Source organism: Homo sapiens, chromosome 2 (genome assembly GCF_000001405.40).
Source record: "Homo sapiens chromosome 2, GRCh38.p14 Primary Assembly".
In the NCBI taxonomy this organism is placed as follows: Eukaryota; Metazoa; Chordata; class Mammalia; order Primates; family Hominidae; genus Homo; species Homo sapiens.
This window is the reverse complement of record NC_000002.12, coordinates 8,122,140-8,146,166: the sequence shown is the minus strand read 5'-3', so window position 1 is coordinate 8,146,166 and position 24,027 is coordinate 8,122,140. Positions and strand designations below refer to the sequence as shown.

At 42.4% G+C, this 24,027-nt stretch overlaps 1 long non-coding RNA gene across 1 annotated transcript in view, besides 1 other annotated feature; it reads left to right on the top strand.

Moving 5' to 3' along the window:
• The window catches only part of LINC00299 (long intergenic non-protein coding RNA 299), a 320,649-nt gene that overhangs the window by 182,253 nt on the left and 114,369 nt on the right, over positions 1-24,027 (top strand). The window lies entirely within an intron of this gene.
• Positions 505-554: an enhancer, noted in NCBI's record as "active region_15250". NCBI's record gives its function as "activates an Ori minimal core promoter by ATAC-STARR-seq in GM12878 lymphoblastoid cells {active_cell/tissue: GM12878}" and the evidence as "EXISTENCE:reporter gene assay evidence [ECO:0000049][PMID:35858748]".

The following is a 24,027-nucleotide window of genomic DNA, read 5'->3' as shown; positions in this document are numbered from 1 at the left end:
ATTAGGTGACAGATGTGAGGCCTGTCTAGCCTCAGCAAAGCTCATGCCTAACAAACCCATGACATGATTGTGCACAGTTCATTTTGATGATGAGATGGCAGTGCCATAAGTGCTGATAAACTGCTTTTTCTCTAGCTGTTTTTTCCTGAATTCTAATACAATTTTATGACACCATCCAGAGAAGGACCCCTCAGTGACAAAAGCATTGTCATCTATCACCTCTATCACCCAGCGTGGCACCTTGCTTAAAATAAATTTTTAATATTTCTTTCTAGAAATGAATTAAACTGTAAACTTTTGCTTTTCAGCTCATCCTATCCAACCAGTCAATGTTGAGTGATCATTGGAAGAAATATAATAAAAGAATTTCAGATTTCAAAGGATGCCATGATATTGGCTATCCACCCATCTCACTGAGATGAAGTTACCAAGTGATATGATTTGGTTCTGTGTTCCCACTCCAATCTCATGTCCTGTTGTAATTCCTGGTATTGGAGGAAGGGCCTGGTGGGAGATGAATGGATCATGGGGACGGAATTCCCCCTTGCTGTTCTCGTGATAGTGAGTTCTCATGAGATCTGGTTGTTTGAAAGTGTGTAGCACTTCCCCTTTCTGTCCTGCTCTGACCATGTAAAGATGGTGCCTGCTTCCCCTTCACCTTCTGCCATGATTGTAAGTTTCCTAAGGCCTCCACAGCCATATTTCCTGTACAGCCTGCAGAACCATGAGTCAACTAAACCTCCTTTCTTCATAAATTACCCAGTCTCAGGTAGTTCTTTATAGCAGTGTAAAAAATGGACTAATACACCAAGGCATTGAGATCTTAAGCAATTTGCCTAAAATTACCAAGTTGCATAGCTCACCAGATAGGGACCACCCAAATCTTTATAGTTTAGGAAATAGAGTGTAAATGCAAGTCCTCCAGGATCGCATATATTTTCAGATATGGTCTATTCATTTGTTTATGGTTGGTCTTCTTTGTTTTTTTGAGAGTGGTGCTAGTAAGATCGAGTTTGTTGGTCTAGTTTTGTTATAGATGAATTGACTTTTGTCTGTCCCTTGGTGATGGGCCGCACTGCTCACTAGCGCCTGACCTAAAATAATCAGTGGTTGGAGGGCAGCTGAATCAGTGCAAAATCACCTCTTGAGTGTCTAGTGGACATTTTCCAGAACTGTGCTAGCTGCTGGAGCTTAAAGGATGTTAGAAGATGAGTCAGACATGGTTTGTGTCTTTATGAACTCAAAACTGATTGGCAAAATATCATAAATGCAAGAAGAAAAGGGATGAGTAAAAGAAAGAGTGAAATAACCATAGAAAGTGGCTGGCAAGATGACCCAGCTTCCAGCTTCTTCCCCTCATCATGGTAGGTGAGTGTCTCCATCATCTCAGCCAGAGTGCAGTTTTGCTTGTCCACTTAGACAAGAACCAATTGATGCCTTTGCAATAATTTGCCATTTCAAGGAAATGAATTGAGGTTTCCACCCTGAAAATCAAGGATGAGGAAACAGCAAGAAAGAGGCAGGAAGCACTATTTGCAAGCCAGTGAGACTGGAAATGAAGAAGAGAATGAATGTTGTTAGGGCACAGTCCAGAGTTCTTCAGGGCAGACTGCATTTTCTGCAATGAGATAAGAAGAGCAAGGAAACACCAGTTTGTAATAGTGTCTCTCTGGCCAAGAGAGTCTATCTGTGGGCTATGCATGATCTCCCAGGTAGAAAAAAACATTGAGAACAAATTGATTTTGGATGGGAAATTCCTTGCAAAGTTGACAGGTGATTGTAGTGGCACCTTTCACGGAATCCCTTAGAAGCAGAAAACACATAGCGTTTTGATACTTTGAACTGCATGTTTGTTGCCAGGGCCAGCCACCCCAAAAGAGCCCAGCCCACTCATGGCTACATGGCAGCAAATTTCTACACAGGTGCAAAAGGACACTCCTACCCATGCCTGGCTAGGGTGATCTTTGTAGGACCACACAGTTTGTTATGACTAGTTTTCCAGAAATTAACAGAATTAGACACAGAATTAACCCCAAAATATCAAAAAGATAACTATAAGCAACACCTCTAAAATTAAACCCTTTTAAAATAGTACTCAGCCAAGGGACTCTTTGTAACCATTCATAATCCTTTGTCCAGGCTCTAGCACACAATAAATGCATACTAAACATCTGTGGAATGAATAAAAAATGCATAACGATGTAAAAAAGAAATTTAGAAACACATCAACTTAATGTCTTTAACTATGTGTGAACATGCACAGATAATTAAGAAACTGATTACATTTACAGGTTTAGGAAATAATCACTTAGGATAATATTTCATTACAAATTCATTAGAATTAGACTTTTCAGGTTGGCTATGTTGTCTAATTTACCCTCACAACAGAGTAGATACTTCTATGGGCATAAAGTATGTTATACTTTATGTCATACATAAAGTTTTGCAGAAACTAGTGCTCAGAGACATTGAGTGACTGCCATGAATGATTACTGGAATAAAATACGTTGGGCAAATGAATAAGCAACCCACCCGACGTGGCCCAGTCAGTGCAAGCTCGGACAGACAAAGCTGGGGTTTTTTTGGTTCCCACTTAGCACCCTGATTTAAGAGAACTCCTAAGTTAAGCTAAAAAGGGATGTGTTGCTGATGACTCCATCATAACCTGCTTCTCTGGGTTTTGGTTACAGAATCACTAATTGAAAGATATCGCAAAACTTTAACCTCTTTATCCTCATTCTATAGACCATTCCTCCACAAGTGCATATCACTATTCCTCATGCCAGTGTGGAGTTTCGGAAGGTAAGGCTAAGTCACGTCTCCCGCCTCTGCTTCTGTCTCCCTTGTGCTTACCTCCTGTAGTTCCCTGGATTAAGAGCCTGCCTTTCTGTCTCTGTCTCCTTCACCCTATTATAAGCTTCTCAGAGTTGGAGTCTGGGTCACACTCAACTTACTATGCAACCTTCCTGCACAGTGCTTTGTGTATAATAGGTGCTCAAAAATGGCTTACTGTAGAATCAGTGTGACCATTTCACTGGCTTTATCAGTCACATATAAAAGAGATTCTAATTAAATATCTTTTGATGACAGTAATAACAACAAATAATACTACCAGCAATTCTCAGGTTATTGTCACTCCTTCAAACAAGAGAGTGTGTCACAGAAGCCTTTCCTTTGGAAATTGCAAAGACTTGCTTCATCTGTGTCAAAATATTTCAGACCCAAGTATGGCTCCATCACTGGGGATAGGATGATGACAACCTATGGAAGGAAGAAATGAGATTAATACTTCACATCCCAGTTGGCTGGTGTTCCTAACTTGGTTCAGAGAGCCTTCTCCTTTACTCACTGTTTTGGACTATGTACCTCTAAAAACTCTAAAAGGCTAAATCCTACTTTCTGAGTTGGTGTTTATTGAGTCACATGTGATGAGCTGAATATCATGAATGCACGTGAAGGTGGTTACATGAGTTATTGCTTAACACAGCTTTGTAGAAGAACAAAGAGATCATCTTCCATGTAGAGAATCATCCTGCACTGGCAGAGAGCTGTGCTGGATGACCTAATGAGCCTTTTCCATCTCTAATTTCTATGATTCTATGAAAATCATCACCCACTATAAGAAACAGATGTGGGCTGGGTAGACAATGGCTGTGAGGATCCATCTTTCTCCATCAGCCTCTTTCAGAGGCATAGGTTGCCACCTCTCCTCCCCCCCAGCTCTGTGGCAGCTGATGGGATATTTATAGTCCTCTTCCTCAGCCTTCCAATTATAATTATCAATATCTCCACTGATAAAAAAAAAGCCATCATCAGAGTTGTGCACAGTATGTGATAAGCCAAGTTTGAGTTGAACATGAGAATAGTTTCTTTCAATTATGGACAAAAGAGAGGTGCATTTGGTGGCGAGGCTGCCATCTAAACTGTGTTAACGTGGCCATGGGAGAGATCTTTTGCCTCCCTGAAAGCACCTTCCTGGACAAATAGCGAGGTGGAGATGTCGTTATGAGCAGCTATCACTCGAATAGACAATGCTGTCTGTACTGTACAGAGTTAGAGAGTTGCTTTAAATATAATAAATAAAAGTGAAATCTTACACAAGGCAGCACAGCTTAGTAATTGCTGTTTTGGAGCGCACGTCTCTGCAGTTATTTAGCTCAGCATTTCATCTCCAGCTGCAGCACAATTTTTGCCAAATATAGATAAATGAAGTTAAAGTTATTGGCAACCACTAGTTCTGTGTCCCTGTTTTGAGTTTATAGATTTCATAGGAATGGCATTACTTTATTTCTGCAGCAGACAATTGTTCTTCTGAAGTGAGAACTTTTTCCATGGTACAGTCTGCCTGGTGTTTCGACTGAAGTTGGAATTTTTATCAAGAGCTATAAGAACAACAGGAGGGAGATTTCAGTTTGAACTACAGATCAGTTGAAACCTGGAGGTGCAGGGAAGACAGATCCTCAACCCACCCAACATATTTTAAAAGTTTCCAAGCCTTCACAGGGTTTTAATAAGGTATCAGCAAGCGCTTCCTTTGATCCTAGACAGCCTCTCCCCAGCGAAGATTCCATGCCGATATCTGTGGCTGCCCTGACTCACCTACAGAAGCAAGTGGCCCTGTCATCTGAAAGCAGGGTTTGGCTCTAGACTTTTATTTCTGGTGAACTTTGAGTCTGTACAATTTCCTGTTAAAATGACTATCATAGATTTATAGAGTTTAGAGTTAAAAACAACTGCAAGAACTGGAGTTCAACTTTTCACAGCCTACAGCTCACTTCTAAGGTTAATGGTCTCCTGACCTCTTTTTGATCCCTCTTGGGTGAACATAAAGCTTAGCTCTTCAAGAGGCAGATGATGCTATTATCTGTTCTCACTGTTGAAGAGAAGCATGGATCAGGTATTTCTGGTTGACATTAGTTGACAGCCACGATGCCTTTCCCGGGGAATTCTCTTCTTCATCCTTAGCACACTGAGCCCCTAATTATCTTGTTGTGGCTTCATTTCTAGACTCTCTGTTACCCTGCTGGCTTTGTTGCTTTGGGAAAAATACTTTCTAGAACTTACACAGTTGTAAAATGGAAGGAGAAGAAAACACATTTTGGAGGGACATCATTATGTGAGTCAAAGTCAAATTCATTGACACACACATGAAATCTTAATGTCTTTGCCATTAACTAACTTGGAGATACTACTTGGTTAAATTCTTAAAGTTGAGTTTTCTATCACTGTTTATCTCATTTATGTTTATAACAGAGTCATTCCCGTATTTCTTTGCTTGGTGACCCTTCCGTGCATGGTATTAGAGCAAAGTCATTAAATTATTCTTTTTCCTTCTCTTCTTTCCCCTTCCTCCCTCTTTCTGATCTTTTTCATGCTCTAGTTTTCTTTTTCCATGAATGGCTTAAGCCCATTTAAAAGTGGAATATAATTCAGCAATGATAAAATAATTTAAATATTCTAAAAGGCATCTTTTTCAATTTACATAATTTTGGTGATCATGTCTATTGGAAATCCCTTTAGGAAATACCTTTTCAGTCTCATGTCTTTCTACCAAATCTCAAGACTTATTAGGACCTGTCTTTCCTGATTCCTTGTCTTAGAGTTGGGTGTAACCTCCATTGTAGCCTGTGGCAGCTCAATCATGACCTTCCCTACACTGTATGATAGATATCTTTTGATAGATATGATACTTTTCTACATAGCTCCTCCTCACTCCCAAACTGGCTAATAATCACTTTAATTTATTTTCACATTCTAAGTCCTTGTAGGCTAGGAATGGATGCATAGAGAGTCCTCAATATATACCTATAGGCTCAATTAGAATCAATGAATGTGATAAGAACAAAAAAGATGGCCATGGCCTTGACCCGAGAGCCAGTTGAGGTCAACCTTGAGGGTTGGGATTCCTCTCAAAAGCCGTGATTTTCTAGGGCCATTTAAGCCCACCACTAGTGATAGCTTTCTTCCCTCTCTCCCTCCCTCCATCTCTTTCTCTTTCTTCTTTCTCTGTCTTTCAAAAAATTAAGGCAAAATTCACATAACTTAAAATTAGTCATTAACCATTTTAAAATGTGCATTAACCATTTTAAAACATATAATTCAGTGGCATCTAATGCATTCACAATGTTATGCAACCACCAGCTGTCTCTAGTTCCAAGAGATTTTCATCACCCCAAAAGGAAACCGTGTACCCACTAAGTAGCCACTCTCCATTTCCTCCTCTCCCCAGACCCTAGCAACCACCATTATACTATATTAGCTTTTGCATCTTAACATCAAAAGTGTTGGAAACAATTCCTTTGAGCCCTTTTATTTTATTTTATTTGCAAAATGTATGAAACACATTTTGTGCCAGGCACTGTTCTAAGCTCTTGATATAGATGAAGTATTTAACAGCAACACTATACGAGTGTTACTATTTTTATTCCTACTTTACAGATGAAGGGACTGAGGCAGAAAGGAGTGAAGAAATTTTCTCCCAGCCCACAGCTAGTCAATGGCTGAGCCAGCTCGCACACTCACTGCAGCCTGGCTGGAATCTGCTTGTACACACTTGGCTACATTCTCCTCTGCTGTGCTCTGGCCAGGCCTGTGGGCTTCAGGCCCCTGCTCACTGCTCTCCTCCCCTCTCTGCCCTCAGCCTAGCGACACTACCACAAAGTTACCTTATTTTTTCATTTACCGTATAAGGCTGTTTATTTTTCACTTTCTTCTGGTTTTGTTCAAGGGCTTCACGGGGCACTGGGCAATAGAAGGAAGATCCCGTATGAACATCTGTGTTGTAATTTTCCATGACTATCTCAGAATGACCAAAACATGACTACTATTTTCTGGATCAAAAAGTCATGTAGGCTTGATACTGACCTCTTTGGACAAACATGGCTTAGGTAAGAGTCCAAACTCTTTTTTTTGGAAATTGAGCAAGACTGGAAATTTTTTCAGGGAGAAACAACCAAAGTTCATAACCAAATAGCAATGTGTTTGCCTAACCTTGGAGAAACTTTTTTATTTTAAGTTATAAAATTTGACGTTATTGAAAACCTTCCCCCAATGCAAAAGACAATAGAAAGCACGAGAGGACCCAAGGTTGAGAATGTGAAGACTTTGTGTGTGTGCGTGTGTGTGTGTGTGAATGTGAAGACATTGTGTGTGTGCGTGTATGTGTGTGTGAATGTGAAGATATTGTGTGTGTGTGTGTGTGTGTGTGTGTTGCTGTCAAAAGACAAAATCGTGACAGATTTAGTTTAAAGATCTGGATTGGCTCTTATTTGTGATTCTAGAATTGGATACCATCTCATTCTATAAAGTAGAGTGAGTGTTCTGATGAGCTGAGCTGGGGAGGTTGGTTTTATAGACAGGAAAGGGCTGAAGAAGTCAGGCATAGCCAATCAAAAGCAGAGATGTTCTTTGCAGGGTTGAAACAGGGGGACTTCCTCACCCCGCCAGCTGAAACTGGCCTGTTTGCGGATTTGGCTATTATCTTTCTCTCTCTCCTGATTTCTCAGGAGGTCAGATCAACTGCTTAGTTTCAGCTTGGTGGCATGGAACTTGACTAGCAGTATCTCCATTTTGGTTTATTCTGTTGGGCCTAGTGCAGGATCTTAGTCCAAACCAATGGCTTCTTATAAATTCTATTTAACGATATATACAAATACATATATTGAATATATTTTAATTGTACTATAAATGCTTTTCTTAAGTACATAGACATAGGTGTTTTCAAATTTCACCATCATAGGAGTTATTATTTTTATCCATTCTCCAACATTAATCATTTTTATTCTCATAAAACAATATTAGCTTTTCAAACAAGGTATGGAACCTTTAAAAATCACCACGGTTGTGGGTGGGGTTTGGATTTCTTCCTGAGTTTGCTTCTGAAGTGAGTGGTGAGCATTTGGGCGGAGTCCCCTCACCTGTGGGGGTGGGTGCTGGAGTGTGGCTCCTGATGCAGGCCCCTGGAATGGCGAAGGCCATAGTTGTAAGGTGCGCCCATATTACTGGAGTAAACCTAAGTGTCAGGTGCTGTCCTAGGTGCCTCGCAGGTTTCATCTCCTTAAATTCTCCCAACAAATCCATGAAGTCAGTACTATCATCATCCCTTCTTATGCAGCAGGAAACAGAGGCACATTGCACACTCAGCGGTTTCTGCGTGGGGTCTGGATTCATCACCAGCACTAGGAGCTTCGGTGTGTGCTCTTCCTCTTTACTGATCAGCTTCCTTCTCTTTAGATAAACAAAGCCCAAGGAGCTGACTGTGCAATGTGGTCTCCTGCTGGAGTGGTCTGCTGGCTTCTCTGTTTAGTCTCTGTGGAGAGACAGAGAGGGGTCTCATGAACGCTGGTCTGCCAGGAGTCTCTCCAGCCTGTGCGGCTTCTGTGCTTGTGGAGGGTAGATGTCAGGGGACTGGGCTGCAGAATGACCTGAGACTTCCATTCACCCTGTCAAGCCACAGACTTCTGAATGCTGCCAGCTTTCACCTTACAGAGAAAAGGAAAGGTGAAGTCATATTTTATGATTGTAGATTTTTCTTTTCTATGTGGAAGTAGAGTTCTACACTGTATCTCAAAGAAATATAGCCATATATTTTTAGCTAAGGCATGTATTACTTTAGAAAATAATTCAGTACCCAAATTTAAATACTTTTTGCATGGAAGTGTATGGCTTGGTCCCTTTAGCTGTGAGGACTCACATTGATCATGCAGATTCTTAGCACGTCTCTGTGCCTTCTTCAGGCCTGCTAGCAGGTTTCATGCCCAAGTCAAGGCTCTTACATAAGGAAATAAACCTGAAGAAATGTCAACGAGAAACAGCATTCAGTTGAAGAGCTCAGGAATTCAGGTGCCTTTCGCCTCTTACCAATAGAAGAGAAAAGTAGCCCAGTCAAATGGAAAGCACTTGTCATGGGCACGAGATACGTAGGAGGCATTCAACAGATGCCACTAACTGCCTCCTGTCTGCTAACAGGAGGGTCTGAATCAGGCAGGGTCAAGATAACAAATAGATTTAGCTTGGTGTGATGAGTCGGATCACTTGGTAGTGGGTGTATGGAGGGCTTCGATGAAAAGGGTCCTTAGGCTGAGACCTCACTCAGTGGGAAGGTGTGCAGGGATGGATTAGGACGTCTGCCATGGGTAAGCTGGGGCTGAGAGGGGCGTGCACAGTGCTTATTGAACTAGCAACACAGAACAGTAAAATTATGTATTCGAAACTAAGTCCTACTAAAAGTGCTCTTTCAACATTTTACAAACGTTAAACCATGAATTCTACCCACCCTAGGAGATACTTCTTATTAGGTTCATTTGCCAGATGAGAATTAAACAGCTTAAGTAACTGGTCCAAGGTTACATGGCAGTAACTGGGGGAGCCCAGATTTGACCTCATGTCTGTCTCATTTCAAAGTCTTCTTCTTTCTACCACTTTCTGCTGGCTGCAATCAGGAGGCAGCCCTCATGTTTTCTGAGAAGTCAAGTGCATATGACTGATGGTCTTCTTGTCCAGTGTGTCAGTGAAGGACATGGCATTTCCAGATCAGTAGAAGCTCACCTGCATATGGACATAGAGAAAATCACCAGTAGAAATACGGGTTGAGGAGCAATCAGTAGATCAACGGGGCATCCAGCCTTTCCTCTAATATTCCAGATGGACTGTCATCTTCAAAGTGACAAATTGGAAGGATATTCAGCTAATGGAAACATGGAGAACACCTTACATTTACTTATCCACATCCAGATGTTTAGGCTCATTTTTTTTGTTTCTTTTTGAGACAGGATCTCACTCTGTTGCCCAGGCTGCAGTGCAGTAGTACAATCATAGCTCATGACCGTCTTGAACTCCTGGCTCAAGTGATCTTCCTGCCTCAGTCTCCCAAGTAGCTGGGACTATGGGCTGCAGCACCATGCTTGGCTAATTTTAAAAAAAAAGTTGTAGAGATGGGGTCTTGCTATTTTGTCCAGGCTGGTCTTGGACTCCTGGCCTCAAGCAATCCTCCTGCCTTGGTCTCACAATGTGCTGAGATTATAAGCCAAAGCCACCGTGCCTGGCTTCACTTGTTTTAATAAATCCTGAATTATCTGGGTTGTTGGCTCGTGATTTATTACTTTGCTAATCGTGTTTTAGCATGGCCTAGTGGTAAAAGAAAAATTTTAGAGTCCCTCTCTCCTAGTTCTTTCCTCCCATTTTGTATTAACTGAAAAATAAAGGTCTAGTTTTGGCCATGGCTAGTCTCTGAACTGCCCAACTCTGCACTAAATGTGGCTGATGGTGGTGGATCCAGCTTTGTTCATGAAGATCAACAAGTCACATCTGGATTCACATCTTTACCTAAATGTAGAAAACCTCAATTTTCTTGGATCTGCCTGATGTACCTCTATCTTTTGCTGTATTATTTTTTCCTAAATATCTCACTCCACCATCTCACGCCTCCACGTTTCTCTTTTCTCCAAAAACTTAACAACAAAAAGATGTGCTTCTTTCCCCCACTAACCTTCTCCACTAAAGCAAGGAGTTTACGAATTTCAGAAATATACCCTCCTTTTCTTTAATGTGATCCAATGCAAATTTTTTGAATAAGCATGACATGCAAATGATCAGAACATTTTAAAACAGTAATGCCTTCAGAGACTGCATGTTTTAACTTCTCCTTTTCAACAAAGCCAGAGAAAGCTCAGTCTCCACACCAAATAAGGAGCATGCGTTCAGGCACACACGCGCACACCCAGGCTTCCTTCCACCCCACCACACCCTCCTTTTTTTTTTTTTTTTTATTAGAAAACACTTGAAACTTATCATATGCAGCAGATGGGAGTAGAAAATGCAACTTGAAGACAGTTTTATAAATATATCCTTGATGTCTGTTTTGCTTTTCAATTTGCAACGAAAAGTACAAAGGTAGACCGGCGCGCCAGTGAGGGCCGCCTGTGTCTCTTGATATCCATTCCAGATGTTGGCTAGACTTCGTGGAGCCGGGCTTATGGCACGGGGGCTGCAGCCTGGCCTCCTCCTCCAGGTGGGATGCCTCACGCTGATTCCCCACATGCTCCCAGCCTTGTCCAAACACACTAAACTCCACCACCTTTCCTGACCCTAATTTACCTTCCCTAATTCCTGGCTCTCTGGGAGGGGAGTGTCTAGAGACAGGGCCCCATCATATGTTCCTGTTCATCACCTTTCCTCTTCAAAATGAGAATCTTAAAAAAGGAAAAAAGTAAATACAAAGGAAAAAAGAACCCTGGTGCTGTTCGCCAGCCAGTGAGTGACGCCGGCTGCGTATTCCTTTCCGAGATGGTGAGAGGCTGGAGGTCCATTCCACCCCAAGGCCTGCCTCAGCGCTAATGGTGGCTCTGTGTTTGCACATGCTTGTAAAGGATTTCACTCTGTAATATGTTGACTTCCTGATTAAACAATGCAAAGCACAGGAGGAGGTCATAAATCCTGGAGGCGCCAACTTCATTTATCTGAATGTTGGTTACTGTCTAGTGTGGGTAAACAAATGCCAAGGGCATTTATAACCATCTAGGGGGCACCAAGGAGGGGGCCCTGCCCCCTTTTCAGAGAGAGAGCCTTGTCTGAGAGAGAGCCCAAGTCGCTGTCCCTCAGTTCATGCATAGTCCCTTGGGTGGGTACTGCAGAGAGCTTGCAAGGAAGCTGGGGGAAGATTGTCCACAAAACCAAGAGCCGCTGACGGCGCCAGGGCGATTCAGGACACCAGTGGGTGGGGTGGTGGGGACCCATCCACTCTCAGGATGGCACAGTTCTGTACAAGATTTTGTAATAGGAAAAATTTGTAAGGACACAAAAATTCCAGGGAAATTACCAGGAATGACACTCGTTGAAGGTCATGAAGGCCGTTTTCTCCCTGGTAGGTTTCAAAGCAGGAAACGAACTGCACTTGGCGTCACAGTACAAATGGGCATATTCCTCTGGATAAGGGGCAGAAAACAGATGCTGGGGGACGTCTTGCTTTTCCTTTTGCTTCCTCATATAAAAAAAAACCACGTCTTAATTGGCTGTGTCTTTAATATTTTGAATCCTCTGTGTGTGTGTGTGTGTGCGTGTGTGTGTGTGTGTCTGAAGCTGGCGGGAGGCAGGAGGGAGGCAGCAGAGAAATACAGCAAACCATGAAGGAGATTATAGGAAGAAGAAAAACAAAAGTCTGAATTTGGGTTTGCCTTGCTGCTTTGGAGTTCAGATTCTCAGCGATGTGTGTTCAATATAGTAACTTGAAGCTCCACTGAGGTATTGCTAGGGTATCGTTCATTCGTCCTCCAACTAGCAGTGTGTCCTTGGACATGCCACTGAATTAACTGAAACTTGATTTTTTTTTCAACTGTAAATGAGGAAAATAGGGTACCTTGAGGTTTAAATAAAATTTTTAATAAGTGTAGCAGAGTGCTAGAGAAGAAAGTGTTCTTACTACATTTCAGAAATGCAGAATTCAGCAGAAGGGTGATCTATTTAAGACGTGAAATTCTAGAGTTTCCTGTGATAAACCAGTTTTACCTGTCATTAGATTTATTTTCACAGCCCCGTTTGAAGTCTGAGCATGCAGGCAAGAGTAGAGGCAGCATTCTGCGCACCGTGGGGAAGAGCGCCCCCGGGGGCTGTGTTCTAAACGGGGAGACAAGCCGTGGACACATTGGCGGTCCATTTTGGCAAAATGAGCTTTGTTCTGTGGCTTCACTGTCTGGCTGAGGAAAAGGATCCTGGGTATGAGAGAGGCTGGGCTTGGATGTTCCAGTGGGATCAGCTGTGTGTCCATGGGGGGAAACCTGGCGGGCGGGTGCTATGTCCTGCTCCCATTGCTCTGTCTGCCCCAAATCTGTTTCCTCCATTCCCCACTGCTCAAATCTGAGTACCCCCGGATTCTAGCTCAGATGTCTCCTGTGAAATCTTCCCCAGCTCCTGGGCTAAACTCAATCACTCCTTACACCTCCCCAGCCCCACACATTCCTCTTTGTTGTTTTATATTATTTTTTGTTGTACTCTTTCAATGCGGCTGTCTCAGAAGAGCAGGCAGGCTGGGCGTGTCCCACTCTGCCCCACATCCTGGGCGAGGGGGAGCTGTTCCCGAGAAGAGTGGGCTGTCCATGGGAAAGGGAGAGGTGAGAGGCGCTTCCTGGGCCTCCAGGGCGTTTTCCACCCTGCCTCGCGGCCGCATCCAGCAACACAGCAAAGGAGGTGGTGGTACCACATTTGGGGTCAAGGGACTAAGGTTTAAAGAGGTTTATTAACATGCTCAAGACCACACAAATAGTATGTGAATCCAGGTGTTTTTCATTCTATATCCCTTAACTGGACATGACTCTATGGGAAAAAACCCACAGCCAGGACTTGGGGGAGCAGCTGGTCACAGCCAGGGATGTTGCTTAGAGCAGGTGGCCCTGGCGTGTGGCTCCCTGCCCTGTACATCAGGGTTGTTGCAAAATCGGTTTGATGCAGCCACGGTTCAGACCGGCCAGCCTGCTAGCCATCCCACAGGAGCACACAAACGTCTGCAGCTGCATGGCTGGGTCTGAGGACAGCCTTCCCCAGCGGCTCCCTTAGAGAGCTCGCGTGACAGCACATGCACAATAGTGCTGACGATGCACACCAAGTGACCAAAACCAGGTGCGGTTTGGCATCTGGAATAATGCTTACTATTATTTAGCATTTGCCTGGGATTGCAGAGGAAGTGCTGCTAGGCTTCCAAAAGGACAGGAGTGAGCGATTGTCAAGGGTAGCTCCACGGCGATGTTAGGAGACACTGTGACTCAATTGCAGCCTGGCAACTGGTTGTCAAGGGGAAAATATTCTAGAGCTGGATCGACAAATGACTACAGCCTGTGGCCAAATCTGCACCTCAGCCTGTTTTTGCACAAACCAATGCAAACAAACGAATACAAGACAGAGACCCTATGTGGCCTGCAGAGCCTGAATATTTACGATCTGGCTCTTTACAGAAAAGGTGTGCAGACCTCTGTTCTGGAGCACTGTTTTCTTGTTTTTCAAAGTACCTTCCAGACATATGCATATTCAGGCTAGAAGGATGCTGCAGCCAGAGTATGGGAAATGTTGGGGTGAGAAAAGTTAACCAGAGAACTGCACTGAAGAGCCTTGACATCCCCAAGTTCATTTGGCCGAGGCTCTTTCTCCATGGATCACCTTGAGGACAAGTGTTCCAAGAACTGTACTTTGAGAGATGCTGATGTAAAAATTTTTTTTTCTCTTATTTTTTTATTATTATTATTATACTTTAAGTTTTAGGGTACATGTACACAATGTGCAGGTTAGTTACATATGTATACATGTGCCATGTCAATGTGCTGCACCCATTAACTCGTCATTTAGCATTAGGTATATCTCCTAATGCTATCCCTCCCCCCTCCCCCCACCGCACAACAGTCCCCAGAGTGTGATGTTCCCCTTCCTGTGTCCATGTGTTCTCATTGTTCAATTCCCATCTATGAGTGAGAACATGCGGTGTTTGGTTTTTTGTCCTTGCGATAGTTTACTGGGAATGATGATTTCCAGTTTCATCCATGTCCCTACGAAGGACATGAACTCACCTTTTTTATGGCTGCATAGTATTCCATGGTGTTTATGTGCCACATTTTCTTAATCTAGTCTATCATTGTTGGACATTTGGGTTGGTTCCAAGTCTTTGCTATTGTGAATAGTGCCACAATAAACATACGTGTGCATGTGTCTTTATAGCAGCATGATTTATAGTCCTTTGGGTATATACCCAGTAATGGGATGGCTGCGTCAAATGGTATTTCTAGTTCTAGATCCCTGAGGAATCGCCACACTGACTTCCACAATGGCTGAACTAGTTTACAGCCCCACCAACAGTGTAAAAGTGTTCTTATTTCTCCACATCCTCTCCAGCACCTGTTGTTTCCTGACTTTTTAATGATTGCCATTCTAACTGGTGTGAGATGGTATCTCATTGTGGTTTTGATTTGCATTTCTCTGATGGCCAGTGATGATGAGCATTTTTTCATGTGTCTGTTGGCTGCATAAATGTCTTTTGAGAAGTGTCTGCTCATATCCTTTGCCCACTTTTTGATGGGGTTGTTTGTTTTTTTCTTGTAAATTTGTTTGAGTTCATTGTAGATTCTGGATATTAGCCCTTTTTCAGATGAGTAGGTTGCGAAAATTTTCTCCCATTGTGTAGGTTGCCTGTTCACTCTGATGGTAGTTTCTTTTGCTGTGCAGAAGCTCTTTAGTTTAATTAGATCCCATTTGTCAATTTTGGCTTTTGTTGCCATTGCTTTTGGTGTTTTAGACATGAAGTCCTTGCCCATGCCTATGTCCTGAATGGTAATGCCTAGGTTTTCTTCTAGGGTTTTTATGGTTTTAGGTCTAACATTTAAGTCTTTAATCCATCTTGAATTAATTTTTGTATAAGGTGTAAGGAAGGGATCCAGTTTCAGCTTTCTACATATGGCTAGCCAGTTTTCCCAGCACCATTTATTAAATAGGGAAACCTTTCCCCATTGCTTGTTTTTCTCAGGTTTGTCACAGATCAGATAGTTGTAGATATGAGGCATTATTTCTGAGGGCTCTGTTCTGTTCCATTGATCTGTATCTCTGTTTTGGTACCAGTACCATGCTGTTTTGGTGATTGTAGCTTTGTAGTATAGTTTGAAGTCAGGTAGCGTGATGCCTCCAGCTTTGTTCTTTTGGCTTAGGATTGACTTGGCGATGCGGGCTCTTTTTTGGTTCCATATGAACTTTAAAGTAGTTTTTTTCAATTCTGTGAAGAAAGTCATTGGTAGCTTGATGGGGATGGCTTTGAATCTATAAATTACCTTGGGCAGTATGGCCATTTTCACGATATTGATTCTTCCTACCCATGAGCATGGAATGTTCTTCCATTTCTTTGTATCCTCTTTTATTTCATTGAGCAGTGGTTTGTAGTTCTCCTTGAAGAGGTCCTTCACATCCCTTGTAAGTTGGATTCCTAGGTATTTTATTCTCTTTGAAGCAATTGTGAATGGGAGTTCACTCATGATTTGGCTCTCTGTTTGTCTGTTATTGGTGTATAAGAATGCTTGTGATTTTTGTACATTGGTTTTGTATCCTGAGACTTTGCTGAAGTTGCTTATCAGCTTAAGGAGATTTTGGGCTGAGACGATGGGGTTTTCTAGATATACAATCATGTCGTCTGCAAACAGGGACAATTTGACCTCCTGTTTTCCTAATTGAATACCCTTTATTTCCTTCTCCTGCCTGATTGCCCTGGCCAGAACTTCCAACACTATGTTGAATAGGAGTGGTGAGAGAGGGCATCCCTGTCTTGTGCTGGTTTTCAAAGGGAATGCTTCCAGTTTTTGCCCATTCAGTATGATATTGGCTGTGGGTTTGTCATAGATAGCTCTTATTATTTTGAGATACATCCCATCAATACCTAATTTATTGAGTTTTTAGCATGAAGGGTTGTTGAATTTTGTCAAAGGCCTTTTCTGCATCTATTGAGATAATCATGTGGTTTTTGTCTTTGGTTCTGTTTATATGCTGGATAACATTTATTGATTTGCATATATTGAACCAGTCTTGCATCCCAGGGATGAAGCCCACTTAATCATGGTGGATAAGCTTTTTGATGTGCTGCTGGATTTGGTTTGCCAGTATTTTATTGAGGATTTTTGCATCAATGTTCATCAAGGATATTGGTCTAAAATTCTCGTTTTTGGTTGTGTCTCTGCCCGGCTTTGGTATCAGGATGATGCTGGCCTCATAAAATGAGTTAGGGAGGATTCCCTCTTTTTCTATTGATTGGAGTAGTTTCAGAAGGAATGGTACCAGTTCCTCTTTGTACCTCTGGTAGAATTCGGCTGTGAATACATCTGGTCCTGGACTCTTTTTGGTTGGTAAGCTGTTGATTATTGCCACAATTTCAGCTCCTGTTATTGGTCTACTCAGAGATTCAACTTCTTCCTGGTTTAGTCTTGGGAGGGTGTATGTGTCGAGGAATTTATCCATTTCTTCTAGATTTTTTAGTTTATTTGCGTAGAGGTGTTTGTAGTATTCTCTGATGGTAGTTTGTATTTCTGTGGGATCGGTGGTGATATCCCCTTTATCATTTTTTATTGCGTCTGTTTCATTCTTCTCTCTTTTCTTCTTTATTAGTCTTGCTAGCGGTCTATCAATTTTGTTGATCCTTTCAAAAAACCAGCTCCTGGATTCATTAATTTTTTGAAGGGTTTTTGTGTCCCTATTTCCTTCAGTTCTGCTCTGATCTTAGTTATTTCTTGCCTTCTGCTAGCTTTTGAATGTGTTTGCTCTTACTTGTCTAGTTCTTTTAATTGTGATGTTAGGGAGTCAATTTTGGATCTTTCCTGCTTTCTCGTGTGGGCATTTAGTGCTATAAATTTCCCTCTACACACTGCTTTGAATGTGTCCCAGAGATTCTGGTATGTTGTGTCTTTGTTCTCATTGGTTTCAAAGAACATCTTTATTTCTGCCTTCATTTCGTTATGTATCCAGTAGTCATTCAGGAGCAGGTTGTTCAGTTTCCATGTAGTTGAGCGGTTTTGAGTGAGTTTCTTAATCCTGATTTGATTGCACTGTGGTCTGAGAGACAGTTTGTTATAATTTCTGTTCTTTTACATTTGCTGAGGAGAGCTTTACTTCCAACTATGTGGTCAATTTTGGAATAGGTGTGGTGTGGTGCTGAAAAAAAGGTATATTCTGTTGATTTGGGGTGGATAGTTCTGTAGATGTCTATTAGGTCCGCTTGGTGCAGAGCTGAGTTCAATTCCTGGGTATCCTTGTTAACTTTCTGTCTTGTTCATCTGTCTAATATTGACAGTGGGGTGTTAAAGTCTCCCATTATTATTGTGTGGGAGTCTAAGTCTCTTTGTAGGTCACTCAGCACTTGCTTTATGAATCTGGGTGCTCCCGTATTGGGTGCATATATATTTAGGATAGTGAGCTCTTCTTGTTGAATTGATCCCTTTACCATTATGTAATGGCCTTCTTTGTCTCTTTTGATCTTTGTTGGTTTAAAGTCTGTTTTATCAGAGACTAGGATTGCAACCCCTGCCTTTTTTTGTTTTCCATTTGCTTGGTAGATCTTCCTCCATCCTTTTATTTTGAGCCTATGTGTGTCTTTGCATGTGAGATGGGTTTCCTGAATACAGCACACTGATGGGTCTTGACTCTTTATCCAATTTGCCAGTCTGTGTCTTTTAATTGGAGCATTTAGCCCATTTACATTTAAAGTTAATATTGTTATGTGTGAATTTGATACTGTCATTATGATGTTAGCTGATTATTTTGCTCGTTAGTTGATGCAGTTTCTTCCTAATCTCAATGGTCTTTACATTTTGGCATGATTTTGCAGCAGCTGGTACCGGTTGTGCTTTCCATGTTTAGAGCTTCCTTCAGGATCTCTTTTAGGGCAGGCCTGGTGGTGACAAAATCTCTCAGCATTTGCTTGTCTGTAAAGTATTTTATTTCTCCTCCACTTATGAAGCTTAGTTTGGCTGGATATGAAATTCTGGGTTGAAAATTCTTTTCTTTAAGAATGTTGAATATTTGTCCCCACTCTCTTCTGGCTTGTAGAGTTTCTGCCGGGAGATCCACTGTTAGTTGATGGGCTTCCCTTTTTGGGTAACCCGACCTTTCTCTCTGGCTGCCCTTAACATTTTTTCCTTCATTTCAACTTTGGTGAATCTGACAATTATGTGTCTTGGAGTTGTTCTTCTTGAGGAGTATCTTTGTGGCATTCTCTGTATTTCCTGAATCTGAATGTTGGCCTGCCTTGCTAGATTGGGGAAGTTCTCCTGGATAATATCCTGCAGAGTGTTTTCCAACTTGGTTCCATTCTCCCCGTTAAAATTTTAATACAAAGGCATCTCCACCACTTAAATTATAAAATAGCAAAGCACCGGAGAAAGCCACAACTTACAGAGATTCAGCTTTTGAAGATCCCAGTTCTGTCTGGGAGGTTTGACACATGGAAGGACAGAGGAAACTTGAGCCATCCCAACTGATTTTCACTCCTGTGCAGGAGTTAGCTATTTAATTTGGCACAACAGTGGAAACGCTATCTTGGGAAAACTGTATTATCCCAATCAAGTGCCTCAAAATGCTGTCAATAGCAGTGACTGACTTCTAGAAGGCCTGGCCATCGCTCCCTCCTCTCCCCATCAGTCCTTTGGGTTCACTCTGGGCCATGTGATGTTTGTGCACAAGAAATTCTTAGCAGACTGGAGCATAAGTCAGACCAAGCTGAACTGTTTGTTGAGCTCTGAGGCCTCTGACAAGCCTCAGTTAATTGTTTAGTGAGGAGCCCTTGACAGGCCAGATCTGGCCGAGGTAGACAAAGTCTAGCCAGGCTAAAACCAGGATTATAGCAGGACTCAAGTTGCCTTTATTCAAATTCAGACATTTTGTGGTACCTAATCTTGTGCTAGGCATTGTGCTAAGTGTTGGGGGATACACACATAAATGGGGAAATTCTTTTGCTCTCTAGAAACTCATAGTTGATTACTAGATTCCATAAATATTTATTAGTCACCAACTATGTGCTAGGCAGGAACACATGAGAGAGCTGATCCTGGGTTTTATGGAGCTCACAGTGGAGCAGAGAACTTGGGCATCCAGCAAGTAACTGGAAGTACAGGTGGCGGAGTCCCAGTGTTCAAAGAAACCCACAGTCCCTGCTCCCTTGGAGGTCACAGTTCAGTGTGGGAGACAGACATGTGGGTTAAAAGTCCAGTGTCGTGTGGCATTTATAAGAGCAAGGATAAAGATTACTGTGAGCTCATAGAAGCCAGCGATGCTAATTTTGCGTGGAAGTGGAGGAATGCTAGTGGGAGGAGACACTGGTAAGAGGGGAGTAAGGCACCCACAAATCAGAACAGCGGGTAGGGCATTCCAGGCAGAGGGAATGTGCTCCTCCTGAGCATAGGAGCAGAGAAGAGCACGGAGAGTGAGAGGAAGGGCGTGCAGGGTGACCCCGCATGGGAGCTGTGAGGCTGGGAAGGCCCCTGAAGGCCAAGTGAGAAGCTTGTTTTCTGATGAAGTCAAATAGATCGTATGTGCTTCCTGCCAATTATTCAGATGGGTTGAGCTCTCTAGGTCAGCTATCTCATGATGGGGTAGTTTCCCAAGAACGGGCTTGGGTAAGTTACTCCCATGAAAGTGTCAGGCATTGTGCAATTTCATAACATGCCCTTTGAGAAGATAAAGGTGACCTTGTGCTCTGGGATCTACAGGGTTTGTGTCACCAAAGCAACCGGAATGACAACATTTCAAAATTCACTTTTTTTCATCTTATCAGTATCACAATGATCAAGTCAGCTGGTCCCTCAAAAATTTAGAATGTGCCTTTGTAAAACGACACAGATAAGAATTTGCTGATGAAATTATAATTCAGTTCTCATAAACACATGCTGGGTCAAACACATAGTCTTTGTTCCAAAGCCTCCCTCTTGCAATGAAGAAACACTCAGTGGGTTTTGTTGATGTTGCTCTGCCCCTTTTGTCAAAGTACCATGTTACACAAATTCATCTTTTTTAAAAGTGAACATTTAAGTGAGTTTTACCTAAGTATTAGGTTGGTGCAAAAAACTGCAATTACCTCTGCACCACCGTAATATTTTTGCAAGATCCTATTAGTTGAGTGGGGAATGCCCAGGTGGCCCATGGTGTAGCCAGGTGTCCAGAGCCCTGGGTCTGGCTCTGCCATTCACCAGCCACATTGCTTGGGGAACGTTTCATACCTTCTTTGATTGTAATGATTTTAAAAATCAAAGGGAACTTGAAAACAATTTAGTCTTCTCCCCTGATCTCATGGATAAGTGCTCATCTGATTGAAGAGACTGAGACAAGATCTCTGTGCTAGTTACACCAAAACCCAGCTTAGAAATGAGTTATTGGAGTCTCACTCCATGGTGGTTTCTCTTACTTCTTTCCGCCTGATTTGTCTCAGTTTCCTCATCTGTAAAAGGAGGACAAGAATTCCTGCCCTGCCTTCTCCATTGGTTTATGGTGAAGATGACACAAGACAAAATGCGCAGAAGCACACTGGCCCTGGGCTTGCCTACACCTGTGCATGTAACAGAGCCAATGCCACCCTCGGACAGACAGGCGACAGGTCTCATCCTTCATGTCCTTCTCCATCCTTTCCTGCTTTTCATCCTTCACTTATAATAGAAACCTATACATTATGGTAAAAATGATATCTTAGCAATTTAGGAATTTCAGACAAGATATTTATTTCTTGAACACCTGCTGTGTGTCAGCCACCTTTTTAGGTATTTTACCATTCAGAAGAAAAGCAGGGCGGGGGTGGGGGGTGGGTAAGGATTAACATATATTATGTGGATGGAATTTGTGTTTGTGTGTGTGTGTGTGTGTGTGTTGTTTAGTCACATGACTTATTTCATAGAATCATTCTTAAAACCACCCAAGGTGAGGCATTCTTATGGCTAACTTACTAGTGAGTAACTGATAAGTCTCAGACAAATGAAATTACCTTCACACACACACACACACACGTCACAGAACAAAAGCTTTATGAGTCTTACCCTTACTATAGGTGAGAGTTTCTTCATCTCAGCATTATTGACAACTTTGACTGAATTATTCTCTGTGGCAGGTGCTGTCCTGTGAACCGTAGGATGTTTACCAGCATCTCTGACCCCCACCCACCAGGTACCAGGAACCCTTCTGCTCCAGTTAGGACAACAGTGTCTCTAGACATTGCCAATGTTCCTTTGGGGGAAAACTAACCACCGATTGAGAACTAATACCATACATGACATGCTGTTATTTTTTATATGATTCTATATCATATTCTATTTAATTTAGAAAAGCTGATTGCAACCTACTAAATTGATTTCCTGACTCACTAACAGATCTTGGTTTGTCATTTGAAAAATACTATTACGGGATTGTGAAATTAGTGGGATGTTTTATAAAGAAGGGAAATGGGGCCGGGCGCGGTGGCTCACGCCTGTAATCCCAGCACTTTGGGAGGCCGAGGCGGGTGGATCATGAGATCAGGAGATCGAGACCATCCTGGCTAACAAGGTGAAACCCCGTCTCTACTAAAAATACAAAAGATTAGCCGGGCGCGGTGGCGGGCGCCTGTAGTCCCAGCTACTCGGGAGGCTGAGGCAGGAGAAGGGCGTGAACCCGGGAAGCGGAGCTTGCAGTGAGCCGAGATTGCGCCACTGCAGTCTGCAGTCCGGCCTGGGCGACAGAGCGAGACTCCGTCTCAAAAAAAAAAAAAAAAAAAAAAAAAAGAAGGGAAATGGATGACATGATTTCCAGAGGCAGTGTGTTGCAGGTACTTTATAGTAATGAGCAAATCAGCATGACAAATTTTAAGATAAAAATACACTACTCTGAAGGTTGTTTTTAGAGGGGATTTAGTTTTTCCAAATACAAAGACAATAGGCTGTTTGGGAGACCTAGTAAATTGTTCAGAGGTGAATTCTTCGGCTGAACATTTGGGGAGGGGCCCATACAGCTGGCAGGAATGTGCAGGGTCCTCCCCAGGGTCCTCCCCAGGGTCCTCCCCTGCCTCCCTGAAGAGCTGGAATGCAGGTGCCTTCAGGATCTGGGAATGTGAAATGATGAAAGGATTTTTTCATTGAAGGATTTATTTGCAAACACGATCCAGAAAAAAGACAAATGATTTTATCAAAAGGTAAAACAAGTAAATGTCACCAGAAAAAGCTATGAACAGTAGGGTTTTCCCTTCTCCTTAAAGGGAGTGCAGCCTTGTACACAATTTTATTAGAACTCTGAGTCTGAAGGCATGCTTGGCATTGGCACTAGATTACTGTGTCTTCCTCAGCACTTTCACTGTTTAGATAACAGTGTAAACTAGGTCCCACAATAAGCAACTGGGTCACTGGTTTGGAGTCAGATGGGTCAGAGTTCGAATCCGGGTTCTGCCTGCTTGGTATGGAAGCTTGGACAAATGATGTTGGTCTTCTAAGATTCATGTTTTTAAATCTTTAAAATAGAAATGACAATATCTGTCTCAAAGCCATCTCAGGGCTTATAAATGTTGTATTAAAAGAAATAAATAGCTCAGTGCCTGGTATTTAGTAAGTATTCAGTGAGTATCATAAACACGACGATCATTACCAAGGGTAGCAGTGATATTATACAAAATCCTAGGCACTGCATACCCTCTGGGACTGGGCTTGTCTGCACCTGTGCATGTGGAAGAGCAAATGACACCCTCGGACAGACGGGCGATGAGTCTCATGCTTCATGTCCTTCTCCACCCTTTCCTGCTTTTCTTCCCTCACTTATAATAGAAACCTACACGTTATGGTAAAAATGACATATTAGCAATTTGCGTATTATGCTCTGATTCGCTGTTTCTTGGTAGAGAGTGAGCTATAAGGAACCCCATTTTTCATTGGGAGCCTAATAGGATCTGCTCAGAAACAGCAGCTGATGACCAGAAATGAGCCACACCCTGACGGCGGGAAGCTTCCAAGTCTCAGGAAAGGACCTCGTGAATCCCCTCTGCCTCCCATTCCAGCTGCGTCACAGGGAGGGAGAACTTCTGAAAACAGGGCTGTGAATGTCTGGTGGCTCAGCTACTTAGCTTCTTAAAGGGAAATAATGGTAGCTTGTAACTCTGTTCCTGGATCAGTGAGGGAGGATAGATGACAATCTATGGAAGGAGAAATTCTGAATTTGCATTATTTCTTGTTGTACCTTTTACAAAGTCTGATGTTAAAAACTGATATTAAACAAAACAAGCATCAGATTGGATGTATGTCCAACAAAAGCAAGGTGGTGACTGAAATCACGGAGGGGTATCTGTGCACGTGGTCTTGCCTGTCCATGCCACTTAGAAACGCTACTTCATCAGAGAGCCTCTCACCGGGTTGGAGCAGTGCCTGGGCAGCCTGTTAGTAACAACAGTTTATAACAGAAAATAAGTCTGATTCTGTTCCAATTTTTATTTTCTCTTTTTTTAATTTTTTCATACTTAAGGTGATAATTTTGGAGGAGAAATGATCCACATAGTTGATACTTCCTTTTATAAGATGGAAGATT